This window comes from Homo sapiens, chromosome 19 (assembly GCF_000001405.40).
Source record: "Homo sapiens chromosome 19, GRCh38.p14 Primary Assembly".
NCBI classification, from domain to species: Eukaryota; Metazoa; Chordata; class Mammalia; order Primates; family Hominidae; genus Homo; species Homo sapiens.
The window spans coordinates 40,521,469-40,536,583 of NC_000019.10; the positions used below are offsets into that span (position 1 = coordinate 40,521,469).

General features: G+C 53.3%; 1 protein-coding gene across 6 annotated transcripts in view, besides 2 other annotated features; it reads left to right on the top strand.

Moving 5' to 3' along the window:
- The window catches only part of SPTBN4 (spectrin beta, non-erythrocytic 4), a 109,464-nt gene that overhangs the window by 54,468 nt on the left and 39,881 nt on the right, over window positions 1-15,115 (top strand). For 4 of the 6 annotated variants that reach the window (NM_020971.3, XM_017027051.2, XM_017027049.2 and 1 more), the window contains 4 exons: window positions 1,969-2,171; window positions 7,573-7,663; window positions 11,157-11,303; window positions 12,612-12,875. In NM_020971.3, the coding sequence (NP_066022.2) occupies window positions 1,969-2,171; window positions 7,573-7,663; window positions 11,157-11,303; window positions 12,612-12,875 (705 nt within the window). Of the gene's footprint in view, window positions 1-1,968; window positions 2,172-3,075; window positions 3,824-7,572; window positions 7,664-9,022; window positions 9,123-11,156; window positions 11,304-12,611; window positions 12,876-15,115 lie in introns of those variants that run through there. The other 2 variants (NM_025213.3, XM_017027052.2) reach the window with 2 other exon arrangements.
- Window positions 1,856-2,151: a silencer, noted in NCBI's record as "fragment chr19:41029231-41029526 (GRCh37/hg19 assembly coordinates)". NCBI's record gives its function as "represses an EF-1alpha promoter that drives an FKBP-Casp9 reporter gene in an ReSE screen in phorbol 12-myristate 13-acetate-treated (for megakaryocytic differentiation) K562 erythroleukemia cells {active_cell/tissue: K562(+PMA)}" and the evidence as "EXISTENCE:reporter gene assay evidence [ECO:0000049][PMID:32094911]".
- Window positions 7,710-8,029: a silencer, noted in NCBI's record as "silent region_10631". NCBI's record gives its function as "represses an Ori minimal core promoter by ATAC-STARR-seq in GM12878 lymphoblastoid cells {active_cell/tissue: GM12878}" and the evidence as "EXISTENCE:reporter gene assay evidence [ECO:0000049][PMID:35858748]".

Below are 15,115 nucleotides of genomic sequence, written 5' to 3' on the forward strand. Positions count from 1 at the left end.
GGGGTGATGGGAGGCAGCGACAGATCATCGGGCATTAGATTCTCATAAGGAGTGTGCAACCTGGATCCCCCACATGCGCAGTTCACAATAGGGTTTGTGTTCCTATGAGAATGTAAAGCTGCTGCTGATCTGACAGGAGGCAGAGCTCAGGCAGTAATGCTCACTCGCCCCCCCTCCACCTCCTGCTATGCGGCCCAGTTTTTAACAGGCGATGGACTAGTACCCCTCTGTGGCCCAGGGCTTGGGAAATCCTGATCTAGGGAGTGGAGGAGAAAGGACAGAGAGCCCCTGAATCATAAGATTACTAAATATGGAGCTGAAGTGGCCTTGAGAGACCCTTTCTGACCCACCCATTTAAAAAATAGAGACAGGATCTTGCTATGCTGCCCAGGCTGGTCTCCAGCTCCTGGGCTCAAACAGTCCCCCTGCTTTGGCCTCCCAAAGTGCTGGGATTGCAGGTGTGAGCCACCATGCCCGGCCCTGACCCACTCATTTTACTAGTTAGAAAACTAACCCCAGAGGGAAAAGAACTTCCTTGAGTTCACACAGTACCCAGTTTAGTTGTCTTCTTTTTTTGAGACAGGACCTCACTCTGTCACCCGGGCCAGAGTACAGTGGCACGATCATGACTCACTGCAGCCTTGATCTATGGGGCTCAAGCAATCCTCCCACGTCAGCCCTCCAAGTAGCTGGGACTACAGGCACGTGCCACCATGCCTGGTTAATTTTTTGTATTTTTAGTAGAGATGGGATTTCACCATGTTGCCCAGGCTGGTCTTGAACTCCTGGGGTCAAGTGATCCTCCCGCCTCTGCCTCCCAAAGTGCTGGGATTATAGGCATGAGCCACCGTGCCCAGCCTTCAGTCTTCATAGTAACCAATTTTTTTTTTTTTTTTTTTTGAGATGGGGTCTTGCTCTGTCACCCAGGCTGGAGTGCAGTGGCGTGATCTTGGCTCACTGCACCTCCTCCGCCTTCTGGGTTCAAGCGATTCTCCTGCCTCAGCCTCCTGAGTAGCTGGGATAACAGGTGTGTGCCACTACACCCGGCTAATATTTGTATTTGTAGTAGAGATGAGGTTCACCATGTTGGCCAGGCTGGTCTCGAACTCCTGACCTCAGGTGATCCACCCACCTCGGCCTCCCAAAGTGCTGGGATTACAGGCATGAGCCACCATGTCCGGCCTAATATTAACCAAATATTTACTGAGTGCCTCCTCTGTGCTGGGCGCTATTTTGGGGCTGAGCACACCTCAGGCAACAAAATACAAAATCCTGCCCTCATGTGGTTGACATTCTAGTATGTAGGGGAGGAGAGAGTAAACAAGTCAATGCATCGCTAATATTGCCAGGTACATGCTATGAGAAATAATACAGGAGGGTTGGCTGGGTGTGGTGGCTCACGCCTGTAATCCCAGCACTTCGGGAGTCCAAGGCAGGTGGATTACCTGCGGTCAGGAGTTTGAGACCAGCCTGGCCAACATGGTGAAACCCCGTCTCTACCAAAAATACAAAAAAATTAGCCGGGCATGGTGGTATGCACCTGTAATCCCAGATACTTGGGAGGCTGAGGCGGGAGAATCACTTGAACCCAGGAGGTGGAGGTTGCAGTGAGCCGGGATTGCACCACTGCATCCAGCCTGGGCAACAGAGTGAGACTCCATCTGCTCCCTCCCTGCCAAAAAGAAATAATACAGGAGGGTAGTGGGATAGGGCTGGGGTGGGAGTTGATAAATTTGGCAGGTTGGTCAGAGACCTGAAGAAAGTGAAGGAGCCAGCCATGGGGGTATCTGGAGGGACAGACTCCCAGGCAGAAGCACCAGCATGGGCAACAGCCCCGAGGTGGGACCACAACTGGAATGTTCTATGCTTGCAAGGTTGCGGGGAGTGGTGGCAAGCCAGGCTGGCAGCCTCTCCCAGGTCCTGGAATGGAATGAGGCTGACCTTTGCACCACGCTCCCTCCTCCCCAGGAGATGGCGCTGTCTGGTGCGGAGCTCCCGGGCACAGTGGAATCGGTGGAGGAGGCCTTGAAACAGCACCGTGACTTTCTCACCACCATGGAGCTGAGCCAGCAAAAGATGCAGGTGGCCGTGCAGGCTGCAGAGGGCCTGCTGAGGCAGGGCAACATCTACGGGGAGCAGGCTCAGGAGGCTGTGACCCGGCTGCTGGAGAAGTAGGTCCCCTAGACCCATCCACCCCAGGGAGGGGGCAGAAGATGGGGCCCAGCATAGGGGAGTGGTGTGGGAGGCCAGGGTCCCACTCCTTTCATCACGATTTCTGCTTCTCTGGGGCTCTTTCCTATTTCTATTTAATTCCATGTTGTCTTAGATTTGATTTAAGTGGATTTTTTTTTTTGAGACGGGGTCTCACTGTGTTGCCCAGGCTGGAGTGCAGTAGCACGATCTCGGCTCACTGCAACCCTCACCTCCCAGGTTCAAGTGATTCTCCTGCCTCAGCCTCCCGAGTAGCTGGGGCTACAGGCATGAGCCACCACGCTGGCTAATTTTTGTATTTTTAGTAGAGACACGGTTTCACCATGTTGGCCAGACTGGTCTTGAACTCTTGACCACCCACCTTGGCCTCCCAAAGTGCTGTGATTAGCGGCATGAGCCACTGCACCTGGCCTTAAGTGGATATATTGTGAAAAGGTAACCTGAGGCTGTCAACCCAAAAGATACAGAAGGATATACAATGAAAGGTTTCTTTCTTAAGTCTGCCCTGAGCATGGGATAGCTGGTCCTGTTGTTAAAATGTTAGGCTGGGTGCAGTGACTCATGCCTGTAATCCCAGCACTTCGGTAGGCTGAGACGGGAGGATTGCTTGTGCTGAAGAGTTCCAGACCAGCCTGGGCAACATAGTGAGACCCCTTCTCTAAAATTAAAAAAAAAAAAAAAGCTGGGCGTGGTGATGCGTGCCTGTAGTCCCAGCTACTCTTGAGGCTGAGATGGGAGGACTGTTTGAGTCCGGGAGATTGAGGCAGCAATGAACTGTGATCATATCACTGCAGTCCAGCCTGGATGACACAGCAACATTCTGTCCCCCCTCCAAAAAAAAAATGTGTTAACTTACTTCCCTAGATGCCTCATTATCCATCCTGCTCTTCTGCACCCTCCTTGGGAACCCCCAGACCTCCCCAGATCCAGCAGCTAGAGGCCAGGCACAGGTGTGTTCCAGCTTTCCAGATGGGACAGTGTCCCCTGCCAGGCTGGTTGTCAAATATTTTGCATAAGCACCTCTTCCTGGCCCCAGCCACTCTAGGAAGCATGCAAAGTGAGTGTCTGCATGTCTCTGTGTCTCTCTCATCTCTTGAACCTCATTGTTCTCTGCTTCTGTCGCCATCTGTCTCTTGCCACCACTCTCTTGTCTGTCCTTGCACTAATCAAGCGAAGATATTTATTGAGCATCTACTGTGTGCCAGGCACTATTGTAGGTAGGCACTGAACAAAACAACACCACCACCTCCAGCCATCATGGGAAGTCCTTTCTCATCTTCCAGACCCAGTTCTGTCTGTCATTAGAGCTGTTTCTGCTCCTCCTGGTGACCCTAAATTTCTCCTCTCAGGCTCTCTGGCTCTCTCCGGCATGATCCAGGCCAGAAGGGGACCCAGTACCCCTCCTTCTGTCTTCCCATCTCCTGACAGAAAGCATCCCTGGTCACTTCACTGTGCCACCCCCAGCCCCAGGACCGCTACCCCTTTTCTGTTTACGGCTCAGACATCCTTTCCCTAGATTTATCTGGGGCAAGGCAGCATGCTTCTAAAGGAAACTTTTATGGGAATTCTGTTCTTGAGGATGCAAACTCATCATTTAGTGCCCCCTTTTCCATCCAGGCCTGGATCCTTCCTTTGTTCCACTTTTTTTTTTTTTTTTTTTGAGACAGGGATCTTACTCTGTTGCCCAGGCTGGAGTGCAGTGGTGCAATCATAGCTCACTGCAGCCTGGAACTCCTGGGCTCAACCAACTCTCCTGCCTCAGCCTCCTGAGTAGCTGGACTATAGGTGTGAGCCACTGAGCATGGCCTGTTCCACATTTCTTGAGCACCTGCTGCATGCCAGGCTCAGCAAAACGAGGAGGAGGAGCCCGGGGGACTGTTCATTCCATGATTCATTCATTCATTACTTTTCAGTCATTCATTAATTGCTCCTTTCACTCTATTGTTTATTCACTCATCCTCCAGTCAATTAAACATGTACTGAGCCCGTGCTCTGTACGGAGTGGGGGTGTGTTCACAGAAATGACCAGGACAGAACATGATTCCTGCCTCACAGAGCTCGAACGTTATCTGACAAGGATGGCCCAGAATGCTCGGGGCTGGGATGGAGGAAGTCCAGGCAGAAAGGTCAGGGCCCGGATGGGAGACGTGCAGCCGCTGTGGGAGAGGCAGCATTTGTCCCAGGCTTGTGGTGGGTGAGGTGTGGTCACAGAGGGATTGAGACGGACTAATCTCTGCACCTTCCCACCATCCCAGTCATTTATTTGTCTAGGGACACATTTCCCACCCTGTGGGAGGAGTGGGAGGAGTGGGAGGAGTTTCCACATCCGCCAAGGGGGCAGAGCCATACAGAGCTGGGGACTGGGGCCCTGGGGCCCTGGGGGTCTTAGACCTGGCTTCACCCCTGAATCCGTGACATTCAGGGCAAGTCACTTAGAGCTTCAGCTTGCCTGGCCCCTCACCTGGAACCTGTGTGTGAGGTGCTGTTCTTTTTTTTTTTTTTTTTTTTTTTGAGATGGAGTCTCACTCTGTCACCCAGGCAGGAGTGTAGTGGCGCGATCTCGCCTCACTGCAACCTCTGCCTCCAGGGTTCAAGCTATTCTCCTGCTTCAGCCTCCTGAGTACTGGGATCACAGGAAAGAGCCACCATGTCCAACTAATTTTTGTATTTTTGGTAGAGACAGGGTTTTGCCATGTTGGCCAGGCTGGTCTCAAACTCCTGACTTCAAGTGATCCACCTGCCTCGGCTCCCCAAAGTGCTGGGATTACAGGCGTGAGCCACCGCGCCGGCCGCTAGGTGCTGTTCTTATCTGCGTTTTGCATGTGAGGCTCAGAGGGGAAAACTGACTTGCCCAGAGTCATGGCCAGGAAGTGCCACAGCCTAGATTTGAACCCTGTTGCTTTCTTTTCTTTTCTTTTTTTTAAAGACAGGGTCTTGCTTTGTTGCCCAGGCTGGAGTGCAGTGGTGCGATCACTGCTCACTGCAGCCTCAATCTCCTGGGCTCAAACAATCCTCCTGCCTCAGCCTTCTGAGTAGCTGGGACTAAAAGCATGTGCCACCTTGCTCGGCTAATTTTTCATTCTTTTTTTGTAGAGATGAAGTCTCACTATATTGCCCAGGGTGGTTTCAAACTCCTGGGCTCAAGCAATCCTCCTACTTTGGCCTCCCCAAAGTGCTCGGATTACAGGCGTGAGCCATCGTGCCCGGCCTACTCTGTTGTTCTTTCACCCTCATGGAGACTCAGGGTCTTCCTCATCTCTAGGACTGATGCTTGACAGTTTGGCTGCTGAAGGCCTGGAAAGATTGATTTCAGCTCAATTTCAGAGGCATTTTATCTTTCCTGGCTCCTAAGCTAAGTTGGGCAGGAGGCAGTCAGTGCTTCGCTTGCTTGTCTCAGGCCCTTCCTGTTCCTTCTCTCTGGTTCTGTCTCTGCAACTGTCTCCTATACACTCTGTCTCTTTGCTTCCATCTATCCATCTATTTCTGTATCTCTGTTTCCTGCTCCCTCTCTGTTTTTCTCTCCGTTTTTCTCTCCCTCCATCTGCACCTCTCTAACCCTGTCTTTTCTGCCTCTGTCTTTCACAGATACTGTACTTTTGTTTCTCCCATCTTTTTTCTCTCTGCCACTGTGTTTCTTGCATTCATTCATTTAACAAATATAAGTCGAGCGTGTACTGTATGCCAAGCCCTTTTTCTAAGCATTGGGGACACATCTATGAACAAAACAGACAAAAATCCCTGCCCTCATGGAAATGATATATCCTAGCATGGGAGACAGCCAAGATAAATAAGTAACATATAGCACGTGTTAGATTGCGTTAAGTGCTAAGGAGAAAATTAAAGAAGGGAAGAAAGCCAGAAAGTGTTGGGGAGTGGTCAGGAGGGACCTCACGAAGAAGGTGATCTTTGAGTAGATGTTGGGGGAAGGAGCATTCCCAGCAGAGGGAACGGCTAGTGCCAAGGGCCTGAGGCTTGCTCAAGGCACAGCGAGAAGGGCAGTACAGTTACCACAGAGTGAGGGGGAAGAGTGCAAGGAGAATAAGAGTTTGGAAAGGTGGGGGTGTGGGGCCTGGTAGGTCAGAAAGGCCTCTGAGATTGGCCGAGTGCAGGAGCTCACTCCCATCCCAGCACTTTGGGAGGCCAAGGCGGGTGGATCACTTGAGGTCAGGAGTTCGAGACCAGCCTGGCCAACATGGCGAAAACTCGTCTCTACTAAAAATACAAAAATTAGCCAGGCCTGGTGGTGGGCGCCTGTAATCCCAGCTAGTTGGGAGGCTGAGGCCGGAGAATCGCTTGAACCTGGGGGGTGGAGGTTGTAGTGAGCCGAGATCACGCCACTGCACTCCAGCCTGGGCGATGGAGCGAGACTCCATCTCAAAAAAAAAAAAAAAAAAAAAGGACTCTAAGGACTCTCATGGAGACCCTGGGAGGATCTCTAAGGACTCTCATGGAGACCCTGGGAGGATAGTCTCATTCTCTCTCTCTCCCTGGGGGAGACAGATAGCAACAGGACAGGGATGCATGGGAGCCCATGTGGGATGCCCCAGCCCCATCCACCAGGCCTCTTGGGCACTTTGCCTTGCACTGTGGGCAGGAGGCCAGACTGCCCGGGGCCCATGGTCCCAGCCGGCTCCAGAGTGGTACGGCCTGGGTCCAGCCTGGTCAGTTCAGTCAGGCCAAGGGCCTCGCTCTGCCTGCAGGAGTGCCCACTTCAGCTTCTCTGCGACTCTGCTGTCATCTCTCCCCACACTCTGCTCTCTTCCCTCTCTCCAACTCTGCGGCCCCCTGGTCTGTCTGTCGTCTGTGGGGCTGTCTTTTCCTGGTGGCATTTGCCACTCCTCTGCCTGTCTCTCTCTGGGCTGTCCCTGACCGGACTCCTCCTGTCACTTTCCCTCTCTCTGCCTCCTCTCTTTCGTCGTCTGCTGCTCCCTGAGTTTCTTTCTGGCTCTGCCTTGCTCCATCTCTTTTCTCGTCTTTTTTTATTCTCTCTCTCGCTCTCTTTCTGGTGTCTCCTCTCACTTTCTCGTTTGTTTTGTTTTGTTTTTGTCCCTAGGTATGTCTGTCTTTACTTCTCTGTTATCTTTCTCTCTGGACTTGCCTTTTTTTCTCTCCGTCTATATCTCTTTCTTTCTAAGTGCCTGTCTCTGCCTCTCCCTTTCTCTTCCTCTGTCTGTCTCTCTCTCTGCCCTTCTTCAGCCCCGTCCCTGCGTCCCTGGCTTTGCCCCACTAATTCCTCCCTCTCTCTTACATATTTTCCACGCCCTTCTTCCCCTACCCAGCCCAGTGCCCTCACAGTCCTACTGCCAGCGCCGCACCCCCCAACCCGGGGCCTTTCCCCAGCCCTTATCTCCCCATCCCCAGGAACCAAGAAAACCAGTTACGGGCCCAGCAATGGATGCAAAAGCTACATGACCAACTTGAGCTGCAGCACTTCCTCCGAGACTGCCACGAGGTAGGAACTCCAGGTGTGCTGGGGACGGAGACATCCCCTTTAGTCGGGAGGGAAGTGCTTCTCGGCCGAGGTGGGGGTGGGGACGCCCCGTCTAAGTGGGTCGCGGAGCGATGCTCGCTCTAAGCCGCCAGGGGGCGCGCGGAGCCGGGTCTCAGTGCGCATGCTCCGCAAGTCCCTGCCCGCCCACGCCGACTCCGGGAAACGAAGGAGGGGCCCCGGGCGCCCCTGGCAACCGCGCGTGTCCGCGCCTACGGGTCCCGCGGGGACGCGCGCTGATCTCACCTTTCTCTCCTGAGATTTGTGAGAATCGCTCTACCCCAGGAGAGGGGCGGGGCGGGCGGTGGGGATAAGGGCCGAGGGCCGTGGGGGGGCCAGCGGCCCTGCGCCCTCCTGCAGCCAGCGATGGCTCTGAACCAAGCCCTCGCCCCTTTAAAGGTGTTCAGTAATCAAGCCCCTTCCCTTAGGGATGATCTGCACACATTAGGGACGATCTCCCCTAATCCGAGATGGTCCAGGCCCCCTTCCTTATTAGTGACGGTTCAGGAGACCTGCTGTCTTCCCCTCCTTCCCTTGCATTCCATAGAAACGATTCTAGACTTTGGCCACATTAGAGATGGCCTAGTAAACATTTTCCTAAACCCTAAACAGAGCTAGGCCTGGCCCTGAGCCCCTCCATCTGTGTGACCCAGGATCATCCCCTCCTCCATCATCACCCCGTACCTAAGTTTCTTCCAACCAAAGCTGGTTCAGGAACCAGGTCTAACCCCTAAACCCCTCAGCCTCAATTAAAGACGATTCGACCCTCCCCCCTATGTTGAACACCCATGGGAGATTGTTCTCTCCGCACACGGAATAAACAAGGGCCTCCATACCGTGCCCCCCTCCCCCATAACTGGGGTAGGCCGGGACTTGAGCCACTGGAGGAACCCCCTGTTCCCCCTCGCCCCCACTGGAGATTGTGAGATGTTCCAGGTCGCCCTCCCATATCCCCTGTCCACATGTGGTGGCCAGGAGCCCGAGCTTCTTCCCATTAGAGATGGTTCAGGAGGCCCCCACCCAGCCCCTCACCATAATCCCCACTCCCTTAGTGAGGCAGTCCAAGCCCCAGGCGCTCCCTCCCGGCATTAGATTTGGTCCAGGAGCACCCCCCATCCCTCATGAGATTGTTCTGGATCAGGCAGCAATCATCTGAGATGGCGCAGAAGCCCCCCACCCGAAGCCTTGGGGCGAGTGGTGGTTCCTCCTGCACCCCCACCTGGGGCCCCGCAAAGAGGCGGGCAGGGAGGCAGGCAGGGGGCGCACGCGGGCGGGCGCGCGGCCGCCGCGCGGGGGCGAGGGAGGGGGCGCGCGGCCGCCGGAGCCTCAGCCTTCGCCGCCGCTGCCGCTGCCGTCGCAGTTGAGGGGCGAGCACCCGCCCGCCCGCTGCAGGGACGCCCCGCCAACGCCACTGCCGCTTCAGGTCTCGGGGGCGCCCAGGGGAGGGGGTTGGCGCGCACCCCGCGGACGCAGACAGGGGAGGGGGCTCGGGCGCGTGCCCGCCCGTCGTGGCCGCGGGAGGGAGGGGCGGGGCGGCGCGGGGGCGGGCCGGGCAGGCGCCCGGACCCCCACCCTGGGGGAGGGGCAAGGACGCCGGGAGCTGTCCGCGGTGCTGGCGCGGGCGGGACTGAGGGGCCGGCCCCCAAGGGAGGGGAGCGAAGCGGGGGGACTTCTAAGACCACTTCTAGGGTAATCTGGATTTGCCCTAAGGGTTCAGGGCGTCTCAGCCTTTCGAGGGGGGGCTCTTCTCCGGGTAATGGGGCATCTAAGATTTGCCCTGGGGTTGGGGGTTTCTCAACCTTTTGGGGGGTTTCTTTCTTGTTTTGGGAGGATCTGTATCAGCCTTGGATGATGGAGGTGAATCACTTTTGGGGGGCTCTGCCTTGGAAGATGAGGGGCCTTGGATTTTCTCTGGGTCTAGGGGGCTCTGACTTTGTGGGGCTTTTCCTGGGTTGTTGGATAGTCTGGTTTTGCCCTCCATCATGAAGGAATCACTTTTGAGGGGGCTTTACTTTGAGGATGGGGTACCATCTCTTTAAGGGCTCTGCTTTCACTGCGGGCTGTGGTTGCCGTTGGACTCTTCCCTGCACGTCGGGAACCTGTGAATTGAGTTGGGGGGTTCAGCACTGGACTTGGTTCTAGTGTGTGTATGAAGGAGTGTGATGCTGTCCTGGACCCCTGGGGAGCACATGCTCAGGGGACATGGGCTGGGGTTTGGCCGGCTGGGGATCTGGGATTTGTCCTTGGCTATGACTGCATTTGCCTCCCGGGACCGCGGAGCTGGAGTCCAGTGTTTGTTTTTTTTTTTTTTTTTTTTTTTTTTTTTTTTTTTGCAGGAGGGAGGAGGGAGGATCTTGTGACTGGAGTGGGGAGGAGAAAGGGGAGGAGCAAACTGTTTCAGGTGCCAGGTTTGGTCATGAGTGGGGAAGTTCTGGCTTGGAGGATAAGTCTGGTTTTTTACTGGAGGGGGTTGGGGGAGGCTCAAAAAGCAGCCTGTGATTGATCCTCTCTAGTGCCGTGAGAGGGGCCCACTCTTGGTGCTTGCGTTTTGGATGACTGGTTTTGTTGGTGGGTAGGAGGACTAGAACTGGCTTTAGTTGTAGGGGTGGGGGTGCTGGCCGGGCTTGGGAGGTCCGATCTGATCCACGATGGAGAGTCTGTGGCTAGATTTTGGGGTAGACTGGTTTGGAGAGCCAGAACACAGCTTTGTTTTTCACATTTGGCTGGGGTTGGCTTTGGTTGAGGGCTAGAACTGGTCATGGTTTGGGGATCTATGGTCTTAGAGTCCCAGGGCTAGAACTGGGGAGCCCTGTGGGCTCATTAGGGGTGCTAGATCTCGATTATGGAGGATGGGTCTACTCCAGATTAGAGGGTTAGTTTAGAGAGAGCTAGAGTTGGCTTTAATTGGGAGGTTGTTTGGGGGGTTTATCTGGCCATACTGGAGGAACTGGGGCTAGATATGGGGGCTTCATTTGATACCCTTGGGAATGGGTTGAGGCTCTTGAATTGGTCCTTATTGGGGGGTGGCTAAGATTGAATGAAGTGTCTAAGTGTTGCTATGGGAGGGGTGGTCCTGGGGATGAATTGGGAGTTAGCTAAATTGGGTTGGAGAGCTTGTTTTGGGGGGGGTGATCTGTCCCCAAGTCTAAGAGGCTGACTGGCCCTGCCTTGGGGGCTTGTGGGGAGTTGAGGAGGGCTTCCCTCAGGACAGGGGACAGGGGAGCAAAGGATTGGGCATTCTGGGGACCCTTCCATCCATCCTCTATCCAGGAAAGAGCTTGAGCTGCACCCACCCCCAATATAAAGGCCTCACTTGCAAAGGTTTTTTCATCCTTTCCTATTCCTTCCACCCATACACCCTAGCAGCCCAGGCCCTGAACCTGGGACTTCCTGAAGGGATGGGGGGCTGTGGCAGGTTGAGGGGACCAGCTGAGCCCTCCTGCCCTGTTCTGCACAGCTGGATGGCTGGATCCATGAGAAGATGCTGATGGCGCGGGATGGCACGCGGGAGGACAACCACAAGCTGCATAAGAGATGGCTCCGGCACCAGGCATTCATGGCCGAGCTGGCTCAGAATAAGGAGTGGCTGGAGAAGATCGAGCGGGTGAGGAAGCTGATGGCCCCTCTGCCTGTGCCAGGTGCAGGAGGCCTCCAGGGAGCCCACGTCTCACCTGCTGCACCCGCTGCTGCCATCCTGCTGGTCTTACACCTCTGGACTGACTCAAATCAGCTCCAGATCTGCTCCTAGCTATGTGGCTTTGAGTGATTCATGTAACATCTTTGAGCCTCAATTTGCTCATCTGTAAAGTGGCCAGCATCTCTTCTGAATGGTGCCTGTATCCTACTGTTTGTTAAATATTTCACTTCTTAATATAACCTCCTCTACCAGGTTCCTTCCATACCATTTGGGGCATTTAAGATGGAAGGTTGGGGAGATGGGCTGGGACAGACCCTGGGAAGCCCAGGGTTAAAGTAAACTTTGGATTCTTAGAGCCCTGGGTTCTAACTGTGTCTATGCCTGTTACCAGCTGTGGGGCCTTAGGTAATTGTGTTAACCTCTTGGAGCCTCAGTTTGCTGTTCTATAAAATTAAGGAAATAATAAATATAGCTACTTCCTGGGCTCTGTGCACATAAAGTACTTAACACAAGGCCACGCACCTAAGAGCTGTAATTACTGTGGTCTTGTTACTTTTAATACTTAATGTTACCTAAGTAGCTCTGGGCCACTAAGAACCTTGACTTCAGTCTTGGAGGGACTGAGGTAGATATTTGCTCTAAGCCTCAACCCTCAGAACTTCCCCCTCCTCTGGCTGAACCCCTAGACCTGTAGCCCTGGATATACACACTTTTCTGACTCACACAGAGACACCCATGTTGGCCTTAAACCCTTAAATGGTCATTGATGTTTCATAAATGGTGGCATATGGCGAAGGCAGTCTTCTTGACTTTGAGTTTAATGGAAGTTCATTCTCTCCCTGCCTCTCTGGCTCCCTCTATCTTTCTTTCCTGTCTGTCTATCCCTCTATCCTTGTCTTTCTTACGGTCCTCTCCCCATGTTTCTGATTTTCTGTGCCTGTCTCTCTGTTGATCACTCTGTGACTGTTTGTCTCTCCCTGACTCCTTCCCATGTCTCTGTGTCCATCTGTCTCTCCCTGTATCTTTCTGTCTCCCTCCCCTCACTTCTGTCTGTCTGTCTCTCTCTTCTTGTCTCTCTTCCTTGGTTCCTTCCATTTCTGGGCCTATCTCTGCATCCACCCCTCATGTCTCTCTCTCCCTATGTGTCTCCCACTCCCTGCCTCTGATTCTCTTTTCACATCCTTCCCTGTGTCCTGTCACTCTCCCACACTTCTCTGATTCTCCCCACCATCTATCTATCTTCTCCATCTCCTGCCATCCACCCACTTGGGGCAGGAGGGCCAGCAACTGATGCAGGAGAAGCCCGAACTGGCGGCCTCCGTGCGGAAGAAGCTGGGCGAGATCCGCCAGTGCTGGGCGGAGCTGGAGAGCACCACCCAGGCCAAGGCACGGCAGCTCTTTGAGGCCAGCAAAGCAGACCAGCTGGTGCAGAGCTTTGCTGAGCTGGACAAGAAGCTCCTTCACATGGAGAGCCAGCTGCAAGACGTGGACCCTGGAGGAGACCTGGCCACTGTCAACAGTCAGCTCAAGAAGCTGCAGGTATGGTCTTCCTGGCCCAGATGAGGGCTCCCTATGCCACATGGGGGCCAGGTCAGGGTCCAACCCCACTCAAGGTATGTCAAGTGGAGGGGATTTAATACAGGGATTTATTTCAAACTTGTAGAAGATGAGAAAGGGAATATTGAAGCAATCCAGCTAGTAATAACTGTTGGAAGCAGCCACCACTCCCTAAGGTATGGAGTACAAAGGGAAAAGGAAGGATCTAGAGCCACAAAGCAGTAGGTAAATGACTAGCATGCTAAAGGTTTCACAGGACCCTGACACTCATTTCCTGGATGGAGAAACCAAGGCTCAGGGGTATGGGAATGGCTTTGCATGGAATAACAATGACATTCATTGAGCATTTCTCTACCAGTCTCTGGGCCAAGCACTCACTGAACTCATCCCAGCCACTTCTGGAGATTGGTACTGTTATTATCCTGTTTTACCAATGGGGAAACTGAGGCACAGAAAGTAAGGCACCTGGCCCAAGGACACACAGCTAACCAGTGTCTCCTTTATGAAACAGGGCACTCTTAGAGAACAGACGCAGCGTCTGCTTTGTATCTGCTCCCAGCTTGGCAGCTCCATGCTTGGTACACAGCAGTTCACGTGGAATGACCAGAGGTGAACGTAGCCATTGCTTCTCACCTCCCAGGGAGTAATGGCTCCTGCCTTTGATTTTCTTTTTTTGTTGCTGTTGTTGATGTTGTTGTTTGTTTTTTTCTTCAAGATAGTTACTCACTCTGTCGCCCAAGCTGGAGTACAGTGGCTTGATCTCAGTCCATTGCAGCCTCAAACTCTTGGGCTCAAGTGATTCTCCCACTTCAGCCTTCCAAGTAGCTGAGACCACAAGCGCATACCACCACGTCTGGATAATCTTTTTAAATTTTTTATAGAGACAGGGTCTCACCATATTGCCTAGGGTAGTCTCAAACTCTTGGGCTCAAGCAACCCTCCCGCCTCAGCCTTCCAAAGTGCTTGGATTACAGGTGTGAGCCATGGTATCTGGCCCACGTGACTCCTGCTTTTACCTGTCAGGAACAATGCCTGACTGACTGATGGGAAACTGAGGTTCCAGGAGGTGAGAGGTGAACTTACTTGTCCAGAGTAGCAAATAGCAAAGCCTGGATTTCAGTCCAGTGCCCTTGACTCTTCACTCCTCCTTTTTGATATATTTCCTATGTAGTTATATAGTGCTTGGCATAGTGTATGGCAAAAAAAAAAAAAAAGGCTAGTAAGAAATACATAATGACACTGATTAGTATGTATTCATTCATCTCTGTGGCAAATAATTATTAGGTACCAGCTGGGTGTGGTGGCTCACGCCTGTAACCCCAGCACTTCGGGAGGCCGAGGCGGGCGGATCACGAGGTCAACAGTTCGAGACCAGCCTGACCAATGTGGTCAAACCTCATCTCTACTAAAAACACACACAAAAAAATTAGCTGGGCATGGTGGTGCACGCCTGTAATCCTAGCTACTCAGGAGGCTGTAATCCCAGCTACTCAGGAGGCTGAGGCAGGAGAATCACTTGAACGGGGAGGCAGAGGTTGCAGTGAGCTGAGATTGCATCATTGCACTCCAGCCTGGGAGACAGAGCGAGACTCCATCTCAAAAAATAAAAAAATAAAAAAAATAATTAGGTACCTACTATGTGCCCGGCACTTTTCTGGGTGTTGGGATATAGCAGTGGGCAAAATGGATGAAAAGTTACTGCCTTCACGGTGATCCCATTCTGGTTGGGGGAACAAGCAAAAGAACAAAAAGACAAACAGATCTGAATGTGATGGCCAATGGGGTCAGTTCGTTCTTTTTCCCTCCGCTCCCCTCCCCTTCCCCTCTCTTTTCTTTTCCCCTCCCTTCCTTCCTTCCTTCCTTGCTTCCTTCGTTGGAGTCTTGCTCTGTCACCCAGGCTGGAGTGTGGTGGTGCAATGTCTGCTCACTGCAACCTCTACCTCCCAGGTTCAAGCAGTTCTCCTGCCTCAGCCTCCTGAGTAGCTGGGATTACAGGCATGTGCCACCACACCCAGCTAATTTTTTTATTTTTAGTAGAGATGGGGTTTCACCATGTTGGCCAGGCTGGTCTCGAACTCCTGACCACAGGTGATTCACCCGCCTTGGCCTCCCAAAGTACTAGGATTACAGGTGTGAGCCACTGTGCCCGGCCAATGAGGTCACTACTTAATATAGAATAGCAGTTCTCAAATGTCTGGGTCTCCAGGACCCCCCTTACACTC